Source organism: Homo sapiens, chromosome 10, assembly GCF_000001405.40.
Source record: "Homo sapiens chromosome 10, GRCh38.p14 Primary Assembly".
Lineage (NCBI taxonomy): Eukaryota > Metazoa > Chordata > Mammalia > Primates > Hominidae > Homo > Homo sapiens.
In genome coordinates this window covers 90,895,845-90,921,750 of record NC_000010.11, presented here as the reverse complement: position 1 = coordinate 90,921,750, position 25,906 = coordinate 90,895,845, and the positions used below count along the sequence as shown (strand labels likewise).

The 25,906-nt window shown below is 38.6% G+C and overlaps 2 protein-coding genes across 3 annotated transcripts in view; one reads left to right on the top strand and one right to left on the bottom strand.

Annotated features, from left to right (window-relative positions):
* Positions 664-9,655, top strand: ANKRD1 (ankyrin repeat domain 1). The gene is made up of 9 exons (NM_014391.3): positions 664-750; positions 1,403-1,582; positions 2,483-2,620; positions 2,779-2,886; positions 3,921-4,019; positions 5,482-5,580; positions 5,871-5,969; positions 6,110-6,208; positions 8,775-9,655. The coding sequence occupies exons 1-9, from the start codon at positions 724-726 to the stop codon at positions 8,883-8,885; spliced, it is 960 nt and encodes a 319-aa protein (NP_055206.2). The 5' UTR covers positions 664-723; the 3' UTR covers positions 8,886-9,655.
* The window catches only part of RPP30 (ribonuclease P/MRP subunit p30), a 36,583-nt gene continuing 23,871 nt past the window's right edge, over positions 13,195-25,906 (bottom strand). Inside the window, exons 9-14 of one of the 2 annotated variants that reach the window (NM_001104546.2) lie at positions 25,834-25,871; positions 25,359-25,438; positions 21,083-21,181; positions 19,407-19,508; positions 18,475-18,559; positions 13,195-16,449 (exon numbers count right to left, since the gene is read on the bottom strand). In NM_001104546.2, the coding sequence (NP_001098016.1) occupies positions 18,489-18,559; positions 19,407-19,508; positions 21,083-21,181; positions 25,359-25,438; positions 25,834-25,871 (390 nt within the window). In that variant the 3' untranslated portion in view covers positions 13,195-16,449; positions 18,475-18,488. Of the gene's footprint in view, positions 16,450-18,474; positions 18,560-19,406; positions 19,509-19,559; positions 21,182-25,358; positions 25,439-25,833; positions 25,872-25,906 lie in introns of those variants that run through there. The other variant, NM_006413.5, reaches the window with a different exon arrangement.

The window sequence follows — 25,906 nt, the reverse complement described above, 5'->3', positions numbered from 1 at the left end:
ACGGTAAGCATGTCATGTGCTAATTATGGCCAGTGACATCATAAAAGAAAAGTGCATTACTGAATGCTTTCAATTTCTTATAATGATGGTAAGGTGGCATGTCATGGGGCCTATTTAGCCCCAGACATCACTCCAAAGAATTCCAAACAGATATAGACAAGTGCCTTTAGGGCCCAGATCCCTTCCCCTCAGGCTGTTTACCCAGGGAATAGGATGTCCTGGGACAAGTTTCCCCTAAGTGAAGTGTTGATAAGTCTGCTTATCAGAAAGATATTACTGGGGGTGTGATATGTAGGGCATCTACATTTTCTTGATAGGTAGTCATATGAAAGCTGACAAAGAAAAAAAGGGCAGTGATGTGGTGCAATGTCAACAGACAGCTGTCCCCTGACTCTTGACAAATAGGATGACTTGCATTGCTGAGCGATGTGATCACCACCAAAGGAATGGCCCTCTCACATTTCTTCCTGATTCACATATTCAGCAGGGTTAGCTTGTCCTCCCCTCCCTCTTCAGCTTCCCAGACACTGAGTCTGGAATGAAAATTCACCTGCCTCTGAGTTGGCTCCTAATGGGGGTGGGAGTGTTACTTCGGTTCCCAGGTTGGAAGATTATCTCACCCGGCCCCAGCTATATAAGCTGACCGGTGTGGAGGGGCCCAGCAGGGCCAACTCCAGGGATTCCTTCCACGACAGAAAAACATACAAGACTCCTTCAGCCAACATGATGGTACTGAAAGTAGAGGAACTGGTATGTAAGATGCATTAATTTTATAAAATGAAAACTGGTTCATCTTGGTTTTTATTTGAAAATTGAAATGCCCTTTGCTTTCAGGTGTAATGCAAGGGAACTCTGAAAATGTCATATATGGAAAAAGGTTGATGTGATGAAACAAGTGAAATTGGAAAAAAAAAATGGAGCTACCAGTAATGAATTCTCTGCATATTTCCTATTTAATATCTTCTCCTTTGGTTTTATTACTACAGTGTGGAATCACGTGTAGTTATCAAAATGTCTTAGGGAAGAAGTGTTATTGAAAGAATGTAAGCCCGGAAACTTTACAATAAGGCGAAACTCATCAAAAGTACCTAAAGTTGAGTTTTAATTAAGCAGAGAAGGTTTTTGATTTTCCTAAAAGAAATGTGATTAAGCAGATTAAAAGTAGATTTAATCTGTCAACCTAACCCAAGCTTTGATTTAACCAAGAGAGTAGGACAAGCATCTGAAGGTAATTCTGGGACAATTGTAGCAGTGTGCATCGCAGCTTGAGATCTGAGAGTGCACTGCTCAAAGGTGGCTGTTCCCAGGGGAGAAGGACCAAGAGCCTCCTGCGGCATTGTCTGTGAAGAATGACCCAGGACGAGGCTGCTGCTTCTGACGCTGCCATCTTCTTCCCTCATAGGTCACTGGAAAGAAGAATGGCAATGGGGAGGCAGGGGAATTCCTTCCTGAGGATTTCAGAGATGGAGAGTATGAAGCTGCTGTTACTTTAGAGAAGCAGGAGGATCTGAAGACACTTCTAGCCCACCCTGTGACCCTGGGGGAGCAACAGTGGAAAAGCGAGAAACAACGAGAGGCAGAGGTGAGAGCCATCTGTGGAATCCACTAGTAGGATGTTGGGGCTGGGGTAGGGAATGGAAATGTCAGGGAAGGAGAAGAGAGAAACAAACCCAATCATTAAGATGTCTCTTTACCAGATTCTAACCCGTAAAGAGGCAACTTGTATGGAACAGGTTTTGGGAAATAACTCTTTGACAAGACTATGACCTCTGAATTCTGAATCAATGAATAAATGTGCTGTGACCATGTTTTGATTGAAAGATACACATGTCCAGTGAATTCCTGATGTTACACACCATGTAGTTAATCCCAAGCAACGGAGATCTCTTTTTCTCAATAACATGGTCTGTGGTCCATAGATCATTGTTTAACTGTCTGCTATCTGTGTTGACACAATCTGTGTTTCTGGGTGAATTTTCCTTAATTACTAACACAGATAAAATTTGCTTTAGTTAGCTGTGGTCCCTGGACAGTCTGTTTTAGAAGGCTCTGCTTAGTGAAAGAGAATGACATTGATATTTCAGAGCTTAACATTTATTGTTAGATTCTTTTTATCATGCTCAAAAATTAAACCAAGTTTTGAGCATAATTTTAAAAATCCTTTAAAAATCTAAGACTTGCTTATGGCATTAATTACAAAGTCATCACTTAGAGACCAGATCGTGTCCTCAATTGGTCAAGGGCTGATTCTACAAGCAACAGAAGTAAAGATGATGGCAATTAGCTGAAAATTAGACTCCCAGATAAATATCTGAATAAGAAATCCCTAAAATGAAGTCAAAGATTTATATAATTTTTAAAAAATGTTTTTGCTCAAACTGTTCACATGTTTATCTCAGACCTTGCAGATTTAGTTTAGACACAACCAGAATGCTTGTCAGTAGAACTCACCATATTTTTGAAATACGAATTTCTTTTTTAGCTCAAAAAGAAAAAACTAGAACAAAGATCAAAGCTTGAAAATTTAGAAGACCTTGAAATAATCATTCAACTGAAGAAAAGGAAAAAATACAGGAAAACTAAAGTTCCAGTTGTAAAGGAACCAGAACCTGAAATCATTGTAAGGGCTTTTTTTTTGGTTTCCAGTAATACATGTCCAGTGTTGTGCTACAGGGGAGCAAATATCTGTGGAGGGTTTGATTGAATGCTGGCAAGCTCACGGTAACTCTCATGCTATATATATATATATATATATATATTTATTTATTTTGGCTTTAGACGGAACCTGTGGATGTGCCTACGTTTCTGAAGGCTGCTCTGGAGAATAAACTGCCAGTAGTAGAAAAATTCTTGTCAGACAAGAACAATCCAGATGTTTGTGATGAGGTAAGACTCATGCAAAGCACTGCAAAATCCAGCTCATTAATTTTATGTTTCTTATGCTTTACTCCAGTCTTGCTAATATAGTGCCAAAGTCCTTCCACCTGAAACAGTTTCCCCAGCTGTTGCTGTGTATGCCAGGAGCCTAATAGGAGAGTTCAGTGGTCCAAAAAATAAATAGATATTAGATCAGTGATACGGATTGCATTGTTTTTTGCACTCATATACATCTGGCTGATTTTTCAGTTTTTCTTTAACTTCTTAGATTCTTGGGATAAGACTTTTAATGTGGGCCAAAAAGTCACCTTTAGAGATATATTATTAGCATCATCTTTGATTAAAACCAAGCACGTCAACACTAGATAAGAAATCTGGAGATTGGAGTTCAGGGGCCAGTTGTACCACTACTTGGCTATTTGGTTTTGAGCAGCTAATTTGCATCCTCTGGGCTGTGGTTTCCTTATCTGTAAACATGGGGCATTGGAGTGAAATAACGCCTAAAGTTGTTCCAGCTCTAATAGTTCATTAGCCCATTCAAATAAAGCCAATTTATCAGAAATCACTAATCTTTTTGTATTCTTTCCCCCATGAAGTGAAATTGGGGACCGCTTCTGAAGTTGAACTAAAAACATGTCTCCCATTCTCCTAAAAATGAATGGAAACTTTTTGATAGTCTAGCAACAGTCCCAGATGCAAGAAAGCTGTCTGATCTGCATGGTAATGCTACATGAACAAGGAAGGTGCAAGATAGAAGAAACGGAGATGTCAGCATTTAGATAGTTTTGAGCCTTTAAGTTCACACTCCTCAACGTAGGCCTTTGAGCCCTTGGAAATGTATATTGGAGGAAGCTCAAATATTAGTTGCAGGATAATTGTTCTGATTCTGCAATTTTAGTTAACTTTGACATTTCTATTCATAAAGAAGCACTTGAGTTTCTATCAGTTAGGTCATCAGAATCTCCAGCTTCATAGCTCTTAAAAGGGTTTACACACATTTTTATATTTATTGCTATCTCTGTTTAAAATCTCTGTTCTGATAGTATAAACGGACAGCTCTTCATAGAGCATGCTTGGAAGGACATTTGGCAATTGTGGAGAAGTTAATGGAAGCTGGAGCCCAGATCGAATTCCGTGATATGGTAAATATATTTCTTTGCTTGGGAATGAGCCAAAAGAAGTAGACTATATGAAGCTCCGGAAAACCTCCAATGCAAAACCGAGCTGATTGGATTGAAAATTGATCTGAGAGAACTAGGCAAAAGCTCATTTCTCCAAATAAAGGAAAGTTGGGAGATGAGAGTAGGTCATGTGAAAATATTTTCCATACATACTGAAAATAGAGGAATATTTCAGGGAAAAGAAGGAAGTGAAAGCTGTTAAACTGAATTCAATATCCTCATCAGCGAGTTAGTCATTCATTTTCGACACTTGCCTTTCAACAGCCTTGTCCCTCCATTGTTCACAGGGCAGCCTGCTTATGGTTGGCTGCCAGCAACATATACGAATTCTCTAGCTGCACACTTTATATGATAGATGCCAATTGCTACCAATGAGATTTGGGGCTAGACTGCATATGAAATGAATTGCATCTATGGAAAGTAGCTGCTATTCAGACCTCAATAATTCAATCACTGTGATTTCTACGAAGACCAGTATGCAGCATAATTTATGAACTGAAGATTGAGCTGGGAAAATTCTTTATGTATTTAAATGCAGCTCATTTTGACTTTATAGCAAAGCGGCAACGGGATATCAAAGAAATCCAAGGGACTTGGCCAAAATTGAATCCAAAACATAAACACATTGAAAAAAAAATCAAGAAACAAAATATGAAGTTTGCATGGAAACTAAAAATCATGAGTGTGGGATTAAGGCCAGGGGCATACCAACCACATAGATCAGTGAGGAGAGGGTCTCCTAGGGGTAACTATACACGTTACAACTGTAGACACAAGTGACTACAGTTGAGGTACAGAGGCTGTGCTAGCAAAAATGAGCAGAAAACCCACAGAAGTAGAGAAAGAGCGACAGGGACCCTAGATGAGGTGTCAGATCCAGATTAAAATATTTTGGAAGGGACTACTTTTATTCTGCCAAAATTTTTAAATACATGTGTTTAGAACTTTTGTGTACATTTGACAAAAGAAGTTAGAAGTTCCAGGCAGAGGGGAGTTTGACTGTGTATTCTGCCTCTTATTAGTTGTGTTTCCTTGGGCTAGAAACTTGAACTTTTTGGAACCTGGTTTTTCTTATCTGCAAAATGTGCATAGCAACACCTACCTCAAAATGTTGCTGGAAGAATCAAGGTGTCTAAAGTGTAGCACCATGTTGGCATGAGAAATGTCTCAATAAGTGGCCATTCTTATTCTTTTAAAACATTATTAGATTTATTAAGAGCCTCCTAATAAGACACACATATGCACACACACACACACACACATGTAATTTAGCTAACACATTTGGTAAGAACCTTCGACTCCAGTTAGAATTGTCAATCTAGATGGGGACAACTCATTATTTTCACGGATGCCCTAGCAACCAGGTTCTAATTCCCCAGACCACATTCTCCTTCACATTGTCGGGTCTTCCCTCCCGGTATAGCTTGAATCCACAGCCATCCACTGGGCAAGCCGTGGAGGAAACCTGGATGTTTTAAAATTGTTGCTGAATAAAGGAGCAAAAATTAGCGCCCGAGATAAGGTATTCCTTCTTCTCCTTCTCCCTTCATTCACCCCCTCCCCCTCCCTGTCCCCCATCCTTCTCCACTTCTCCCACTCTTCCCCCTCCCCCTCCTCCTTCTCCCCCACCCGCCCTTCCCTCCTCCCCCACCCCTCCATCTCCTAACCTCGCCTCTCCATTAAAGTCATCTGGAGGCCCATGCTGTGTGCAGGCACCCTAGTGACCACTTCTCCCCCTCGCACATGTCTTGGGGTCTGGGACAGCCTCTGTCCTCATTCCTAGCGAATCAGCAGCGTTTTCCAATTTTCCAGTTGCTCAGCACAGCGCTGCATGTGGCGGTGAGGACTGGCCACTATGAGTGCGCGGAGCATCTTATCGCCTGTGAGGCAGACCTCAACGCCAAAGACAGAGTGAGTAGCTGGACACGCTCGGGTTTCCCAAAGCTTCATTGCTTTTGTATTTGGAATCACTCCCCCAAGCCTGGGTGCCCTTGCAGGACCCACTTCCTGGCCTCAGACCCACCTTGAACCTGTTGACTCTGCTTCTCTAGGAAGGAGATACCCCGTTGCATGATGCGGTGAGACTGAACCGCTATAAGATGATCCGACTCCTGATTATGTATGGCGCGGATCTCAACATCAAGAACTGTGTAAGTACTGGAAACAAGAAACACCGCTTGCAAGCTTTCCAATTTCCAGGAGCATTTCTTAAATAGGTGAAACGACTCCCACAATGGCAGTATTTGAGGGGTCTTCGATGGTCTAAATGCCCCTGCCCATTTCCCCAAGGACAGTGTTTATCTTGGCTAGGACCCAGTTCACATGGCCAGAGATGAGGGAAGTCATAGATACTGCTATGACCTCAGTGCCTGATACAGTGCATAGTAATTCTTTTACAATTTGGTCTTGGAAATGAAAGATAGTCAAAATTTGCTCATCCCCACAAACACCTAGAAGTCCAATCTGCTTTGGCCATTTCTGTCTGTGCAAGGGCTGAGGAAGTTAGAAATAAAGGCATCCACCATTTCCAAAATGTCCTAAAATTCCACAAGGGTCAGTGCAGCCAGTGAACTAAGGTTAATCAATATCCAATCTGAGTAATTCAGAAAGTCCCTTTCCTCCTTACAGCAATGTGAAATGTCACCATTTTCTTCCAGGGGTAGCTGTGCTTTTGCCTGTATTTTTTTTCAGATAATTTCTATCCATTCTCCACTTGGATTTGTCTTCACATCTCTCAAAATAATTTCCTATATTTAGGCCCTGAAAATTCTTGTATAAGTACATATTAATTTAACTTCATCTGTAAGCAGGGAACATAACCAACTTTTCCTCATGGTCTCAATTTCCAGACAAACACCATCTAATATAAGCTTAAAAAATATTGCCCAGAGGAACAGGTATAAATTTCTGAAGAAATAATTTTAAAGAAGCTTTTGAAGAATCACTTTACAAAAAAGAGTGGGGGGGGGGGGAGGGAAACTCAGTCATCATATAAATGCAAATAATTTTCTCCCCTTATTTGTGTTGCAAAGACTGAGAGGAATATCTTATCTTTTAAAACAAATCTGGCTTGGTGACAGGATCAAAGAATGGTGATAAATGAAGATTGCTTGGGATGGGAAAGTGTTAACAGTAGGGCTTCCTCAGTCTAGATATTGGAATTGATCCTATCTAATATTTTTTTAAACTATCAGAAAAAGAGCAGGTTAAATGAAATCTTGAAAGCTGCAGAAAATGTGAAGATTTTTTTTCAGGCAGTGAGACACTACCAGCAGAGACAAATAGCATACAGGTTTAGGGAGACTGTGTAAGTAGCCAGAAAAATCACAATATAAATTTCAATGGAGAGAAGTGCAAGGAATTTATGGAAGAGTAGCCCAAAATATACAAATACGGCTTAGGGTTCTGAATTATCAGTTAGATATTAGCATCAGGTTTATGGAACTATTAATGTCATTGACCCAATGGATTGATGTTTCCCCCAAAGATCAATAACCTATTGATGCCATCTTAAGGAGATTGGGAGCAGCATACAATATTTTCTCATTATCCAAAACTGTATATTCATGTCTACTGATGATTGTTCCTAGAGAAAGACACTACAGAGGTGGGGAAGTTCCAAAATGAAGGTTATAGGGCCACTAATTTAAATACCTACAGATCTCATAATCTGACTGCAGACTGACCTCACTGTGCCGGGCAGATGGCCTAAGTGACTTCAATGTGTGGCTGTCAGGGTCTGTGCACATAACTCTTTTAAAGGTGGCCCTTCCCCAACCCAGTCTATGTTGCTCTGTGGAACCATGGGTACCATGTTTTTAACTCTTCTGATTTTTTCATAGAAGTCACAAATCCAGCTCTTGGTTTCCAACTGTTGCCAATTCATACTAATCTTAAAAAAAATCTAAGTTCTGTTTGGGTCAAAACAAAACAGGTCTCTATTCTGGTTTGCATCTCAAAGCTGCCAATTTGCAGTCGCTGGGTTAAAAAGAAACTTCTCAATGAATAGAGATGGAAAAATTTTGGACTTCTCAGATCTATAGATGAGAATTGAGAGATGACATGGTTTTAATATTTTTAAATCTTGAGACACGTGCATAAGGGAAATCAAAATTTCGTCTCAAAAATTATTTGTTCACATGTGTCATTGCCATCAACTCCAAGAAAAATACATTTCCTGGGAGAGTCCATTGAAAATTCTGACAAGTTATGAAAAATCTGCTCCCAGGAACAGTAATAGTACCCAAGCAGTACCTAAGTCCTTAAGCCAAGTTATTGATGCAGCTCATTTACCATCATTTCTTATCAATCAAAGAACTATCATTCAAATGGATAGGCACTGATTCTTGGTCCAAGAGGCATGCTCCCACCTCCGGGAGTCCATTCCACAGGATACTGGAAGATGTATGGAGACATTTTATAAATTTCAAAATGACTTGAGGTGCTCTTGACACATAGTGTCTAGGGACAAGGGATTTTACCAATACCTGGGATGGTCCCACGTGAAAAAGATTTTTGCTCTAAAATGGCAAAAGCATCCCTCTGAGAAACAGTGAAGGACTGGTTTGAGTATAAACTGCAGATCACTCCTGGTGGAAACCATAAAACACTGTTATAACATATACCTAATCCTTACCTCATGAAACACACACAGAGAATGTGAATTTACAGATGTCACCCACCTGAAAGTCAACTTTCCTTATCTCATTTGATTAGGCTGGGAAGACGCCGATGGATCTGGTGCTACACTGGCAGAATGGAACCAAAGCAATATTCGACAGCCTCAGAGAGAACTCCTACAAGACCTCTCGCATAGCTACATTCTGAGGCAAACGACAGACTCTTAATCAGTAAATGTTCACTGGCATTTTGAAGGCATGGCCCAAGAGAAGAGACACTAGCCATAAAATCTAGTTTCTATTTATCAACGTGTTGTGAAGATGTACCTAATGAAGTTTTGAGAAAGCACAGGGTTATAGGTGTTTAAATTTCCTTTAGTGAAACTCTTATTTATTTTTATGTATTCCTGTTTATTTATTTACTGCCACGCTACTGATATTCAGACCTTCATGATCATCCATCTGGTGAGCAGAGCTTCATTTGTATATAACACTTTCAGAGCCTTCCCACCCATAGGTAGTTCTTAAACCAGGTGAAAGAGCAAAGTTCAAGTGCCTACTTATGTGTCATTCGCTCATGTAAGAGTTTTTAAGAGAGGGCTGATTATCACAGCCCTCTTTTCTCCTGAATTTTTAATGCAGAAGTTTGAATGAAGCAAGGGAAGGCATGTAGGGACAGGAAAGGAAACAATGGAAGGAAAGTGATTCTGTGAAAAGGACAGTGAAGCCAGCTATTTTACCCCCAGGCTGGATTTTTTTTTTTTTTTTTTTTTTTTTTTTTTACCGAGTACACAGAGTACCCAAGTGAAGAGAACGTCATGAGTGTAAGTGCAAATCAGTGGAAGGAGCGGCAAACTGGGACATGCAGAATTGAATTTGCTCAAAAAAGATGAAAGGAAATGCAAACTGTAAATGTATAAATGTATATTGTATTGTATGTACATTTTATATTCATAATAAAGGCAATCAAACTCTAAACCTCTAAGTCCTTCTATAAGTGTGGTGGAAATGTCCTATGTGAAAAAAAAAGCTATATAGGAGGGTTTTTTTTTTCCATTGTTTTCCAAGTTTTGCAGATTAGAAATGTCCCGTACAACAGCACTCCCAGTATTTAATATGTATACAGATCACCTGGGGATCTGGTTAAAATGCAGATTTCTGATTCAGCTGGTCTCAGGTGGGGCCTGAGATTCTGCTTTTCTGACAAGCTCCCAGGTGACAGGCCACGAAATGCCACCACCACACTGAGCAGCTAGGCCGAGAGCCATAAAGACACAAAGGAATTCTAGCGAGCTTTCAGTCCCAGTGGTGTGTAGAAAGAGACCCCTGGTGGTCAGAATGATTTCTGCATGGTAAACCCGCATTTCTTACGAAGTTCCCATTAAGGCTTAACTAGTGACTTTTTTAAATTTAAATTTTAAGTTCTGGGGTACATGTGCAGGATGTGCAGCGGTGTTACATAAACGTGTGCCATGGTGGTTTGCTGCACCTATCAACCCATCACTTAGGTATTAAGCCCAGCATGCATTAGCTATTTTTCGTAATGCTCTCCTTCCTCCCACCCCACCCCCTATACAGGTCCCAGTGTATTTTGTTCCCCTCCCTGTGTCCATGTGTTCTCATTGTTCAGCTCCCACCTATAAGTGAGAACATGCGGTGTTTGGTTTTCCGCTCCTGTGTTAATTTGCTGAGAATAATGGCCTCTAGCTGCATCCATGCCCCTGCCAAGGACATGATCTCATTCTTTTTATGGCTGCGTTGTATTCCATGGTGTATATCTACCATATTTTCTTTATCCAGTCTATTATTGATGGGCATTTGGGTTGGTTCCATGTCTTTGCAATTGTGAATAGTGCTGCAATGAACATATGCATGCATGTATCTTTGTAGTAGAATGATTTATATTCCTTTGGGTACATACCCAATAATGGGATTGCTAGGTCAAATGGTATTTCTGGTTCTAGATCTTTGAGGAATCACCACACCATTTTCCACAATGGATGAACTAATTTACATTCCCACCAACAGTGTAAAAGTGTTCCTATTTTTCTGCAACCTTGCCAGCATCTGTTATTTCTTGACTTTTTAAGTAACTGCCATTCAGACTCCATCCATCTGACAAAGCTCTAACATCCAGAATCTACAAGGAACTTAAATTTACAAGAAAAAACAACCCCATCAAAAAAGTGGGCAAAGCACACGAACAGACACTTCTCAAAAGAAGATATTCATGTGGCCAACAAACATCTGGAAAAGAAAGCTCAATATCACTGATCATTAGAAAAATGCAAATTAACTGGAGATTTAACAATTCTTGTGGACAGGGACTGGCAATGTCAAAGACTTCCCAGGAGAGAACACACAGGTCCATGATTTTTGACCTCCAGACCACCATAATAAAACTAATATCACAATAAAGTGAGTCACAATTTTTTTTGGTTTTCTAGTGCATACAAAAGTTATGTTTACATTATCCTGTGGTTTAATAATTGTGCTATAGCACGATGTCTAAAAAACACTGTACCTACCTTAACTTAAAAATACTTTATTGCTAAAAAAAATGCTAATGATCATCTGAGCCTTCAGTGAGTCATAATCGTTTTAATGGCGGAGGGTCTTCCCTCCATGTGGATGGCTGCTGACTGATGAGGGTGGTAGTTGATGAAGATTGGGATGGCTGTGTCAATTTATTGAAAGAAGACAACAATAAGCTTACCACATCAATTAACTCTTTCATAAAAGATTTATCTGTAGCATCTGATGCTATTTGATAGCATGTTACTATCAATAGAACATCTTTCAAAATTGGAGTACATCCTCGCAAACCCTGTTACTGCTTTATTAACTAAGTTGATGTAATATTCAAAATCCTTTTTTTGTCATTTCAACAATGTTTACAGCATCTTCACTAGGAGTAGATTCCATCTCAAGAAACCACTTCCTTTGCTCATCCATAGGAAGCAACTTCTCAGCTGTTCAAGTTTTATGACAAGATTGCAACAATTCAGTCACATGTTCAGGCTCCACTTTTAGTTTTCTTGCTATTTCCACCACATCAACAGTTACTTACTCCACCGAAGTCTTGAACCCCTCCAAGTCATTCACACAGGTTGGAATTAACTTCTTTCAAATTCCAGTTAATGATATTTTTACCTCCTCCAATGACCCACGAATGTTCTTAATGGCATCTAGCATGGTGAATCCTTTCCAGAAGGTTTTGAATTTATTTTGCCCAGATCCATCAAAGGAATCGTTATCTACGGCATATAGCCTTATGAAATGTGTTTCTTAATAAGACTTGATTCAAAATGACTCCTTGATCCATGGGCTACAGAATGGATGTTGTGTAAGCAGGTATGAGAATAACATTCATCTCCTTGTACATCCTCATCAGATGCACGTCTCCATCAGTCTTGGGTGACCAGGTGCATTTTCAATTAGCAGTAATGTTGTGAAAGGAATATTTTTTTTTCCTGAACAGTAGGTTTCAATGATGGGCTTAAAATATTCAATAAACTATGATGTAAAAAGATGTGCTATCATCAAGGATTTGTGGTACAATTTATAGAGCACAGGCAAAGTAGATTTAGCATAATTCTTAACAACCCTAGGATTTTCAGAATGGTCAATGAGCATTGGTTTCAACTTAAAATCACCAGCTAACAAGGGAGTCAAAGCTTTGAAGCTTTGAAGCCAGGCATTGACTTCTCCTCTCTAGCTATCAAAGTCCTACATGGCATCTTCCAATAGAAGGCTGTTTCATCTACATTGAAAATCTGTTGCTCAGTGTAGCCATGTTAATCAGTTATCTTAGCTAGATCTTCTGGATAACTCGCTGCAGCTTCTTTCTTCTATCAGCACTTGTGCTTCACCTTGCACTTTTATGTTACAGAGATGGCTTCTTTCCTCAAATCTTATGAACCAACTTCCGCTGCAGTTCTCCAACTGTTTTCAGCAGCTTCCTCACTTCTCAGCATTCATAGCATTGAAGAGTTAGGGCCTCTGGATTAGGCTTTGGATTAAGGCATTATTGTAACTGGTTTGGTGTTCTATCCAGACCACAAAAACTTTCTCCATTCAGCAATAGAGCTGTTTTGCTTTATCATTTGTGTGTTCACTGGAGAAGCACCTTTAATTTCCTTCAAGAACTTTTCCTTTGCATTCACAACTTGAGTGAGAGGCATAGTTTTCAGCCTATCTTGGCTTTCTACATGCCTTTCTCAATAAGCTTAATCATTCCTAGCTTTTGATTGAGAGAGATGTGTGGTTCTTCCTTTCACTTGAACACTTAGAGGCCATTGTAGGGTTATTAATTGGCCTAATTTCAATATTGTTTTGTTTCAAGGAATGGGGAGGCCTGAAGAGAGGGAAGGAAATGGGGAAAGCTGGTCGATGGAGGAGTCAGAACACACACAACATTCATGGATTAAGTTCACTGTCCGATATGAGTGCAATTTGTGGCTACCTAAAACAGTTATAATAGTAAAATCAAAGAACACTAACCAACAAAACACATATAATAATAATGAAAAAGTTTTTAATATTGTGAAAATTACCAAAATGTGACATGAGCGAGACAGGAAACAGGCACATGATGTTGAAAAAATGGCACCAATAGACTTGCTGGTTACAGAGGTGCCACAAATCTTCAACTTGTAAAAAATTCAGTATTTGCAAAGCACAATAAATTGAAGCACAATAAAAGGAGGTATGCCAGTAGTTCTTGGCCAGGTGCTAGGCCAGGTCCTAAGACCTGTGGTAAGAAAAAGAGATTGTCCATGACATGCCCTCCTGGAAGAGATGAATATTAAAGGAATAATGAGGAATAAATACATAGTCATGTGCCACAGAATGGTGTTTCGGCCAACAATGAACCACATATACAAAGGTGGTCCCATAAAAATAAAATGAAGCTGAAAAATTTCTATTGATAGCAACATCCTAGCTGTTGTAACATCATAGTACAGTGCATTACCTTTTCTATGTTTGTTTAGATACACAATATACTTACCACTGTGTTATAGTTGCCTACAGTATTCAGTACAGTGACATGTCGTACAAGTTTGAAGCCTAAGAGCAATAGGCTGTATTGCTCATATAGCCTAGGTGTTTAGTAGGCTGTATCATTTAGGTTTGTGTAAGTAACACTCTGTGATGTTCACACAACAAAACCGCCTAATGATGCACCTTTCAGAACGTATCCCTGTCGTTAAGTGAGGCAGTAAGTGCACAGTATCTGTCTGTTGTAAATACGATGAAGGAAACAATACAGAGTGTCTAAGATGATGAGGCTTCTATAAAGACTTCTTTGAGGTGGTAACCTTTAGGGTTTGTCTGAAAGGTAAACAGGAGTTATTCAAGAATCAAGTGTTCCAGGTAGCAGGAACACTGCTCTATGGAATACAGCAAGGATATGAGAAATGTTTGGCACTTGTGGAAATACATGAAAGCCAGTGAAGTCTGATGTAAAACACTAGCACCAAGAGACCCATTTTGGATAAGATCATATATGTTAACCTCTTAGATATGCCTCTAACTATCTGGGAGAGTGTATACGCATAGTCCATAACCAGAAGGTCTTCCAGTTATCTGGTCATAGACACATATAGAGTTGTGAGAATGGTTTGAAATATTTTTGTACCTTTTCTGTCTAGTACTAATCCAGGGAGTCCACCTCCCACAGGCATTGGGGATTTCATTGTTATCTCTCTGACTCCCAATCTTGTTTGTTGGCCCCTCTACCTTCCCCACAGGGGTCCTGGCTTAAGTTTGTCAGACTTTTAAGGCTCAGGGTCCTTCAATTTCTTCCAAGTGAAACATCTACAACACAGACATTTCTCTTGCCAGTGCTGATGTCTCATGTGGCATAACTTCAACGTGTTACCACCATGTGACCAACTTTTCTTTATGGTATCTGCCTCAAATCCACCTCCCCTAAAGAGCTGGGAGGGTACACGAGAGAAGAGAATAAAGAGTTAAAAAGTTTTATGTTGCCACATATAAATATTTGCACTAATAACTAGGTAGAGGGCATGAGAGACAATATGGAATAAATCCCATTAGAATTAAGACAACTCTTAGTTATTTCTGCTAATGGAAAAGATAAACACGTTGGGGGAAATTTTTAAGTTTTTAATCACATAGTCAATTTTTTTATAAGGTTCTCTCCTTGCCTTCTCACTGACTCAACTCTTTGCCCACAATCTTTCATTTTGTGTTTGCTCTTCAGTGAAGGGCACACCACACTGGCCAATGGAGAGTCCTAGAAGTTGTTTTTGACCTTCTTTCCCTCATCCTTCTCTTTTAAACAACCAGGTCTTACCAAGTATACTACATAAGTAGTGCTGTGATCTGTCCATGTTTTCCAATCCTAGGTGCCTCTGCCCTAGTTCAGGTCACCATTACTTCTCATCTGGATCAAATAGCCCTCCTAGGCTCCTGGCCTCCAGGCTTGCTTACCTCCAGAATGTTTTTCAAGTTGCAGATAGAGGGATTTTTCTAAAATGCAATGCTGATCAACTCACTCTCCTCTTTCAACCCTTCGATGGCTTCACATTTCTCTCAGGATGAAATAAAAACTCCTAAAAATGTCTTATAAAATCCTTAAAATCTGGCTGCTGTTAACTCTTTATTCTTATCTCTCATAACCTTCCTAGCCAAACTCTAAATTTCAACTCAACTAAATTTTCAGTTCCTTAAAAAATCCAGGCACTTGCTTTACTGTTTTCACATACTGTGCCAGCTCCCTGGAAGACTCTTCTTCCCACTACAGCCCACTCCACGCCATCACATCACTTCTCATTCCTCCCCTTTGTTCTAGCTGTATTTCCTCCAGGAAGCCATCCTTGAGTCCTTAGATTCTATTAGTTCCCCCAAGGTGTCTTCCTGTTGTACTTTGCTTTTTCCCCATAACATCTGTCATACTTCCTTCCCCCTCCTCTTGAACACCCAATACTCATTATGCCAATACAGAAATGAGTAACAAAGGAAGCAACACATCACCAATAATCCTGGTTTCATGACATTCTGATTATTTCTGTGCACATTATGGGTATTGTGTATTTAGCTTTACAACTTCAACTGAACAACTTATTCTAGACATCTTTATAGACAGTATTCTTTTAATGTACAATGAATTATTTAATCCTGTTATTATTGGGTATTTAGGTTGTTTCCATTTTCACATTTAAGACATTGTTGCAGTGAATATCCTTATCCATCCACCCTTTATAATTAACCAGTTATTTCTGAAGAATAAATTGACATCAAAAGTATAAGACTTGCATCAAATTGTATCTCCCTCCACACCATCTTGAAAATACCCACTTTATAAATCTTTTTTTCTTTTAACTTTCAACCTGATCAGCCAGATATATTTGTGGTGATTTCCCCCTAAATGACTAGGAAAGTTCAGCATCTTCATGTTACTGGACATTTAAAAAAATCAACTTTATTTGTCCAATTTTCTAAGTCAGGTCTCCTGGAAGCAGCATTTCAAATTAGGATTCTTGTGTAAGTGACTTACTGAGAGTCCTCTATAAGGGAATGAGAAAAAACAGAACAGGGCAGAAGAGGCAAATATGTGGTTTCAGGAGAAATCCACACACAGCGTAATCCCATGGGGTGCTCAGGAGCATAAATTGTACCACCGAGGCCAGTGGGCCAGGCTGTAATGTCCTGCATCAGTCACTGGCCATGGGCCAACCTCAGAGGAGACAAAACTTCCCAGGTATCTTCAGGTAAAGTGACTCTCATCAGCCCAGGACAATCCTCTGGAAAAGGGTGAAGATAAGTCATTAGTACCCAACATCTGAAGCACTGGCAATATAGGTACACCACCCTGGGAATGGGGATCTCTATGGATGCTAACAGCATGTCATGTTGGGTATTTAAAAAAAAAAAATTCTTAAAAGCTAAGCATATGAAACCTTCCTGGAATATGTATTGTAAATGTACTTTCCTACTTGTTGTTATGTAGAGACAAATCAATCAAACTTTGTTTTCTGGCTTTGATGACCATGCTCGGCAGGTCTATTGCAATCCAAGATTATTATTTTTTTAATTAACTTACATTTTCCTCTAGTATTTTACAAGTTTGTTAAAAAATTTAAATCTTTAATCTACCTGGATTTACTATGGGTGTGTATTGGGTGTGAGATAGAGATTTGACTTAGTTTTTTCCTAAATGATAGCTGACACTTCAATATTTAAATTAATATAATGAAGTAATAAATAATAAAATAGTTGGTACTTTCTTTTTTTTAGACAGAGTCTCATTCTGTCGCCCAGACTGGAATGCAGTGGTGCGATCTCAGCTCAGTGCAACCTCTACCTCCCGGGTTCAAGCAATTTTCCTGCCTCAGCCTCCCGAGTAGCAGGGATTACAGTCATGGGCCACCATGCCTGGCTGATTTTGTATTTTTAGTAGAGACGGGGTTTTGCCATGTTGGCCAGGCTGGTCTTGAACTCCTGACCTCAAGTTATCCGCCCTCCTTGGCCTCCTGAAGGGCTGGGATTACAAGTGTAAGCCATGGCACCCGGCTGTAGTTGGTACATTTTATATGACAGGCCCTGTTCAAAGTAAGCCTTCCACAAATACTAACCTACTTAATCCTTGCAATAATGTGACAGGTAGGGAGAACAGATGAAGCGAGGCACAGAGAGGTTACATAATTTGCCCAAGGTCATAGCTAATGAGTACTAGCAAGTAGGGCTTTAAATGCATTTAGTTTTTCTTTCCCCTATGCACTTAACTGGTATGCTGTACTGCCTCTCCCAAATAGATAACCAATTATTTCAGTATCACTTACTGAACAATCAATCCATCATTTCTTCTTATATCTAAAGTATGATCTTGGACTTCCTGCTCTTTTCACTGTTCTGAATTTCTGCACCAATTAGTTTTAATTACAGTACTAGAGTTTTGTTATACTCTGTAATATTCAGCATTGTAAGTCCCTCCCATTAGGTTTTTTCCTGAAATTTCCAATTCTCATATTTACTCTTTCAGAATACCAAGTCCAAAGACCAAATACATAAACAAGAAAACAAAAAATACTTATAAGCATTTTGATTTTAAATTTTGTTAAATGCGTAATTTGGGGGAGAATTTGATTTACAATTTGTCTTATTCAAGAAAACAGAATGTCTCTTTCCATGTATTCTAGTCTTTATTTTCCCTTTATTCTCTTATTACTTTCATTAAGTTTTCTTTATAGAGGCCCTACACATTTCTTGGTAATTTATGTCTTTGTGAATAGTGTCATCTTTTAAAATTATTTAACAGGTTATTAATCAAAATCTGGTTTTTGTGTATTTATACAATTGGCCACTCTGCCAAACTTCATCTTGGTTTGGCAGAGGTATTGGCATCTTGTAGCAATTAAATTAGTGGTTCATTCTAACGAAAGTAAATATTAGAAGGAAACTTGCCTCTGCTATTCACTGGTGATCAGCCATCATGCCCTACTATCATGAACAATGGCATAAACATGTATGAATAGAAAGCACGCACAACTGCAAACACATACTACACAAATGTGTAGTAAATGGACGTAAGCTGAAAGGTACCTGTATTTCTACTTTTTTCCCATTTATTTCACGAGTTTTCCAAGACAGTCGTATCTGCAAATAATTTTACCTCCTTTCTATAACATGAAAATCTTACTGTATCTGGTGCAACTGTAGCTGGTACATCACTAATTCATAAATTAAGGTGGGACGTCGCAAAAAATTGAACATACATCCTGTTAAGCATTTTAAGCTTAAAATAGATAAATGTATACTTGGGTACCAACCTTTTAAAGAAGGGTCAAAGCCTGTTCTTGGGAGTATGATCTCTCTGATGAGAGATCAAAAGTTGTCTTTGTTGAATTCTAGTTCCTTTAAAGCAGAAAAGGAACTTGACATTAGTGAAGCAATCCAAGTGCAGAGTTTTTACTGATCACCCCCAAATTTGTTATCCTTCTCATATCTAATTTGACAGCAGTTCTTTGTAATGACTCTTTTCCAAACCTTTCCAAAGTGTTGACTTAGTTTTCCCGGGAATTTTTCATTTGCCCCCAATAGCTCATCAATTTTCATATTTAAAAAAATAATTTACATACAATGCTAAACACAGCTGCCTTAAACAGATTTGTGAATAAACACAGCTGACTTTTGGTGAACTTAAGCAGGGTGAAGGAAAAAAGCAAACTGGCACACAAGGAAGTGGCAGACTTTTGGTGTGTGGCCTCAGCAGCACCAGCCTCAGTTTTACAGAAGGAATGAGTAGGTTAATCCATCAAATTGGCCAAGCGGTAGTCAAAAATGCTTTTGGAGCCATCACATTTAATATACACAAAAAACAGACACATATGAACATATATATGTATGCATACAATATTATTCTACTTTAATTTTGCCATGGGTTTTTATTGTTGTCATTTTAAAAATCAGGAGTGGATTTAACTTTATTAAATGTCTTTCTGGCATCTATTAAAAATATTCTGATTTTTCTCTTTTGACCTATGAATATGATAAAGGATACTGCATTAAAAAGAACTGGAAGGCCGGGTATGGTGGCTCATGCCTGTGCCTGTAATCCCAGCACTTTGGGATGCTGAGGCGGACAGACTGCTTGAATCTGCCAGGAGTTTGAGACTAGCCTGGACATGGCAAAACCCCATCTCTACAAAAAAATACAAAAATTAGCTGGGATGTGGTGGTGCATGCTTCTGGTCCCACTTACTTGGGAGGCTGAGGTGGGAGGATGGCTTGAGCCCAAGAGGCAAAGGTTGCAGTGAGCCGAGATTGTGCCACTGCACTCCAGCCTGGGTGACAGAGTGAGACCCTGTCTCAAAAAGAAGAAGAAAAAAAGAATAAATTTCACCTGGTCATGATGCACTTTTAATGTTTTTTTAATCAATATTTTATTTAAACATTTGTATTCATTGGTGAGGTTATAAAGCTTTCTCTTTTTAAAACTGTATTTTCTCGGGCCGGGCGCAGTGGCTAACGCCTGTAATCCCAGCACTTTGGGAGGCCGAGGCGGGTGGAATATGAGGTCAGGAGATTGAGACCATCCTGGCTAACACGGTGAAACCCCGTCTCTGCTAAATACATGGCGAGCGCCTGTAGTCCCAGCTACTCAGGAGGCTGAGGCAGGAGAATGGCATGAACCCAGGAGGCGGAGCTTGCAGTGAGCAGAGATCGAGCCACTGCACTCCAGCCTGGGGGACAGAGCGAGACTGTCTCAAAAAAAAAAAAAAAAATTGTATTTTCTCCAACCCGCAGAACAGTTGTCTTTCTCTTGCTTAAAAAAATTTCTTATTCAGTTATACCTCTGGCTCTACTCCATTGTTTTAGAGCCCTTACATTAATATTGCATAAATGCATGTATTTGCATAAAAAGCTACTTCTACTTAACATGATCCCATTATAAAAATAAATTATTTCCAAAGTTGGTTCAGTCCGATGCTTTGCTATTTTTAATACAGCTATCAGGAAAATCAATATTAGCGTTTTAGGGGTTTCTAACTAAAAGTAAGGAATCCTATTTCAAAGACCTTACGTAGGCATGAAGCAGTGAAGGAAGAGACCAGATGTAATTTTACATGTGTATCCTCTCTCCTTCCACAAATTCTATAGCAATTTCTTAGAAAAAAATGCTGATTTGAATACATGAAAGAAGCTTAAAACAAGAGGAACTAAAGTCACTTCTTCAATATAAGTTTGAATATCTTCAAAATAACTACTATTTGAGTATGAACAAGAAACTTTCGAAAGAAGCTCTTAAAATATTCAAACATCTGGCTGCATGTGGTGGCTCATGTAATCCCAGCACTTTAGGAGGCCAAAGCGGGAGGATGGCTTGATCCTAGGAGTTTGAGACCAGCCTCAGCAACATAGTGAGACCATGTCTCTACAAGGGAAAAAAAAAAAAAAAAAAAAAATAGCCAGGTGTGGTAGTGCACACCTGTAGTTCCCGCTGCTTGAGAGGCTGAAGCGGGAGGATCACTTGAGCCCAGGATTGAGGTTGCAGTGAGCTGTGATTATGCCACTGTACTCCAGCCTGAGCAACAAAGACCCTATCTCAAAAACAAAATGAAACAAAAATACCTGAAACATTTTATTCAAGTATATTTGCTGTTGTTTATCACTTACACAAAGGAGAAATAACCAGTCTTTCTCTCTTAAAGTACATCTAAATTCATTAAGCTGGCAGCCTTTTAAAAAGATGCTTCACTAGGTTTCGTTTGTTGTTTTAATGGATTGCAAGTAAAACTGTTTTTATAGACTATTGATTTCTAGCTCCAAATGAAAACAGTAAATCACACAAAGGTTTTATTTTTGTTGTGGCTGATGAACTATAAAAGGGAAGAAGGGAGTGCTGACAGAGACTGGGGCATTCTTTTCAGCCCTCACACTTGGCTTTCTTGGAAGCTGGAAGACAATCTTCATCTCCTTCTGATGGCCGAGGTTTCTTCACTGTAGAGATAATTCCAAAAGCAGTTTTTCTAGTTTCTGTAAAACAAACAGGGAAACCACTGTGCTTGAAGTTAAGACATAATTTAAAATGAGGTGGTTTAACATATTACTTTGGCTTACAGCAATAGCAAATGATAAGCCATAATGAACTGCTATGGCTGCTAGTGCCATTTACCGTCATTATCTTTTTTTCCCAACAGACACAAATATCAGTATATTATTAACATCTAATTCATTCCTAAAGATTACCTCATGGGTAAAACTGCAGGACAGTGTTATCTCTAATGGTCTGTCCATGGCATCTTATGTAGCCAGAACCCAGTCACAGACATTGATGTAGCAGACACTTTATATATGGTAGACAGACAAATCAAGAGAGCAAACACAGCAATCAAGTGTATGGCTCCCATGTGGAGCACATGCTTGCCTCATTTTACAGCATGTACCCTATCTCTCTTATTAGAACATCAAGGTACCTCTGAAGAATCAATTGCATTATATTGCCAACACTCAACAATGGCCTGGTTATGCAAAATGTGTTCAGTAAATACTAGTTGAGTTAATGAATAAAATCACTCATAAATTTATTGATCTCTTTAACTGGTGACAATGAACAAAGAATAAATAGAAATTATTAAATGCTTAGATTAGGCTGGCAGCAGAGTTCAACTTAAATTTAACCAATTTTTCCTAGAAACCTACTAATAGGCTAGGCACTGTGTCCATACAGAGGGTATTAAGATTCCTAACAGACAGTGCTTTTCCCTATACTACATGCATGCGAGAAGCACAATAAGAGCAAATATAATAGGAATGGAGGCATCCACAAGAATTAACTGCCTGGTTAAAGCAATGAGGTATTATATAAAGGTGACACTACTCAGAATAGGGTAAACGGAGTAAGAAAAAGAGAAATATTCCTTTACAAAGGCATGGAGAGAAAGATAAGAAGAACCTAGGTAAAATAGTTTAGGGGACAATATGGCTGATGTGAAGTAGGAATACAAAAAAATTAGGAGAAAATAGAGTTTGGAAGGGTAACTTATGAAAGGCCATAGTGTCATGAAAACAGACCCAAACTCTGTCCTTAGAAATGGAAAGGGATTATGGAGAAAGAGAGAGATACCCATTAGCTACAAAGGTGGCAGAATCAAAAGAACTTGAACAGAAATTTAGCTATGAATTATTCCTTATTTCAAGTAATAAACGTAAAGTCAACCATAAAGTGTTAAGCATTATTTTCCCATTTATCAAGATTAACTTAGTAAATCTACTCTGCCAATTATTTTAAAACACTTTTATTTGTAAAAGGGATAAAACTGCTCTCAAGGTCATTAAAATGCCAACATAATAAGAACCTCAAAATAAAAACTGTCAATGATTTCCATTTCACCAAATGAAAAACGTCACACTTATAGCTATTAATTTATGTCACTGATTCTGTACCCATAGTCTAAAAATCAACTGAAATATAAACATTATGAAAATCAGCACTTTTTAACAAAATGCATTAATTTCTTTAGTGTCTTTTAAAAATAAATGCATTTCTTGGTAACAGCAAGACGTTACATTTGTGTATGCTTTAGTTTATAAAATGTTTTCACATATAGTATTTCCTTTAATCATCTTGCCAAGGAAAATCTAAAGGATTATCTACGAGTGAATAATTTTGTTCACAAGGGGCTAAGGCAGGTGTCCCCAACAGGTTCATTTTGGTCCAGGGGCTGATTGAGGGCATGAACTTTATCAATCACAGGCCAAAGACCCTGACCTTGGGCCTCTTTCCTCTGTCCTTTCCCCACAACCTCCTCAGAATTGCTATTCATTGGTTTCTAGATTTCTGGACCCCCAAAGAACCTAATTCTGATTTCCTGTGGCAAGCCTTCCAAGTTGAAAGCTAACTACCATGTGTCCCAACTCTTCTGCTTGCCAGGTATCCATGTCTGCACCACCCTCGTGATTCCTCTCATCATGAGGCTTCCAGACCCTTTAAGGACTGAGTAGACATTTTCCAATAGTGTTTCAGTGCACTGCTGTCCTTCTTAAATGTGGCACTCAGAATGATACAGATGCCGGCTGAGATTTCATCAATGAGAGTATAATAACGAGGCTTTGAATTTCCTTGTCTCAGAATCCTTTATTTCTTCTAATATTACCTAGGCTGAATTAGCAATCTTAAGAACACATCATACTACCGTCTCATACTGATCCCAATGGCAACGAAAACCAGGGTAACCATATTTTATCATCTAGTTTAGGACTCTCTTCAGGGAATAGAAGTGCTAATAAGGTCACAGAAACAGCAGGCATAAACTAGAACTGTCCTGGGTACACTGGGGTGAATGGTAATGCCACCCAAAGTTCACAAGTCTTCTTTAAGTTTAGCTTCTATAAAAGCCTGATTTTAGACACAGAAAGACAAACATCACATGTTCTCACTTGTTTGTGGGATCTAAAAATCAAAGCAACTGAACTCCTGGAGACAGAAAGTAGAAGGATGGTTACCAGAGGCTGGGAAGGGTAGTGGGGGGCTGAGAGGGAGGTGAAGATGGTTAATGGGTACAAAAAAAATAGAATGAACAAGGTCTAGTATATGATAGCACAAGAGGGTGACCATAGTCAATACAATTTAATTGTATATTTAAAAATAACTAAAAAAGCATAATTGGATTGTTTATAACACAAGACATATGCTTGAGGGGATGGACACCCCATTTTCCATGATGTAATTATTATGCATTGCATGCCTATATCAAAATATCTCAGTACCCCATAAATATATACACATACTATGTACCCACAAAAAGAAATTCTAAAAAAAAATACTTTACATATTATGTGTTATATGCTGAATAGCTGAGTTCTTAAAGTCAAATGCAGGACTTCCTATTTTCCTATATATAAAATTATGTATGTATTTATATTTTAGTTTCTGTTTCTTGTTTAGTCCATTTTGGAACCCCAACTGTTACTCAAAATCCTGATGAATGTTTATTTAAAATAGATCAAAATAATGACAGAACTATCAAAGTGTGAACCAACTGTTCCCTAATTTCAAGAAAATCATTATTCAAAATCTCCATTAATTTGACCACTCCCAAAGCTTATGTGATGAGTTCTAGGCTACATAATACAAAAATCTCAAACTAAAAATGTTGAAACTAAAAGCAAAATCATCTAATTTACGGCAAGCCAATACATAAGCAGTTCTCTCAAGTGGAAATCAGATCAATAAAGCCCAACACACAAGCCCTCAATAACCTAGCTATTCATATGACAAATAACTCAGTCTATATGTAGCAATCTACTTTGAAGTTTAAAATTCACTTGGGTGATATCAATGAAATTGCTTCTTAACCACTACAACTAGTCCTAAGAATTATAAAGATAACGAAGACAAAACAGTGATCAAAAGCTTAAATTGTTTTAATAAAATTTCACTTTCATTTTCCAAAGTTTCAGCATACTTTCAATTTTTAACATCTGATGAGCAGGAAACTCAGTCAGTGAAAAGGTACATATACAAAATGTGAGTAAAAAATGTACAGTCTGGCCGGGCATGGTGGCTCATGTCTGTAATCCTAGCACTTTGGGAGGCTGAGGTAGGAGGATTGCTTGAGCCCAGGAGTTCAAGACCAGCCTGGGCAACATAGTGAGACTCTGTCTCTATTTAGAAAAAGAAAAAAAAATAAAAAAGGTACAGTCTGGACACAACTTGACCATGTAAGCAAACATGAGAAAAGAAACATTCTGAGTTATAATAAATGTAAAAGTTACAGTCTATGTTTTGTTAGTTGGATTTTTAAAAATGTATTTGCTGGTTTTGTTTTCCTAATAAATAGTTTAACACATATTTTTAACATATCCGTTCTCTAAAACAGAGATTTTCAACAGGGAAAGCATGGCCTTCTGGTGAGGGAGAAGAAGGAAGGGAGATTAGAAGCCTATCAAAATGTCGGCAGGAGCACACATGTATAGCTGGAAGAACTATTCAATACTTATTTCTGTAATGAAAACTATATTCATTCTACAAACTTTAGAAAGTAAAGCCTGAAGTGAGGGTGAGAAAACACTGATGACTGTGTTTAGAACAGGTTGAGAAAAGATGATCCCAAAGGAACTCTGTAGGGTAGGGCAATAAAAATAGGTATGGCTGTAAAAATGACTTGCTTTTAACATGACCATTCAGTTTGTACTGGAAGAACTTGCTTACCTCCATGGAGAAGCGCTGCTCGGCAGTTGGTGGACACCGCAGCCTTGGCGTCACTTTCAGAGAGCCCAAACAGCAAGCCTCTTGGGGGAGCATTAAAGATTTCAACCCAGAGTCACCCAAGGACACGAGACTAACACAAACATAACAGAAAGTGCCAGCTAACCTGGTCATCTTGAGAGGCTAATTAATTCAACAGCAGTTCTTAGTCCAACTGGAACATGCATCTGAGAAAAGACTCATTTAACTCTAAGCTTTTATCATATGAAGTCCCTCATTCCCTCTTTTCTATCTCATGATTAATTAAAAAACAGAAGCATAAAGCTCTCTATAATGTTATATAATTTATTTTTGAAGTTATTAATTGGTAAACTTACAGTAAAAGGTTGAGAAAAATACATGTTCAACTATAATACGACTTCAAATTCAAAATTTCCTGAAAGACAATGTCAACAACTTTTTACTCAGAAAAGGATACAGATTTGCCACGTCATATGGCCCTCTTATTTCTAAAGGCTGAAATAAAATGAACAAAGAGTAGATATGAGAAA

Bases quoted from the DNA above. Each gene is read 5' to 3' on its own strand.
- ANKRD1 (NM_014391.3), top strand. From the start codon at position 724: ATGATGGTACTGAAAGTAGAGGAACTG. The intron at 2,887-3,920 runs GTAAGACTCATG...CTGTTCTGATAG, and splicing joins ATCCAGATGTTTGTGATGAG to TATAAACGGACAGCTCTTCA. The intron at 6,209-8,774 runs GTAAGTACTGGA...TCATTTGATTAG, and splicing joins ATCTCAACATCAAGAACTGT to GCTGGGAAGACGCCGATGGA.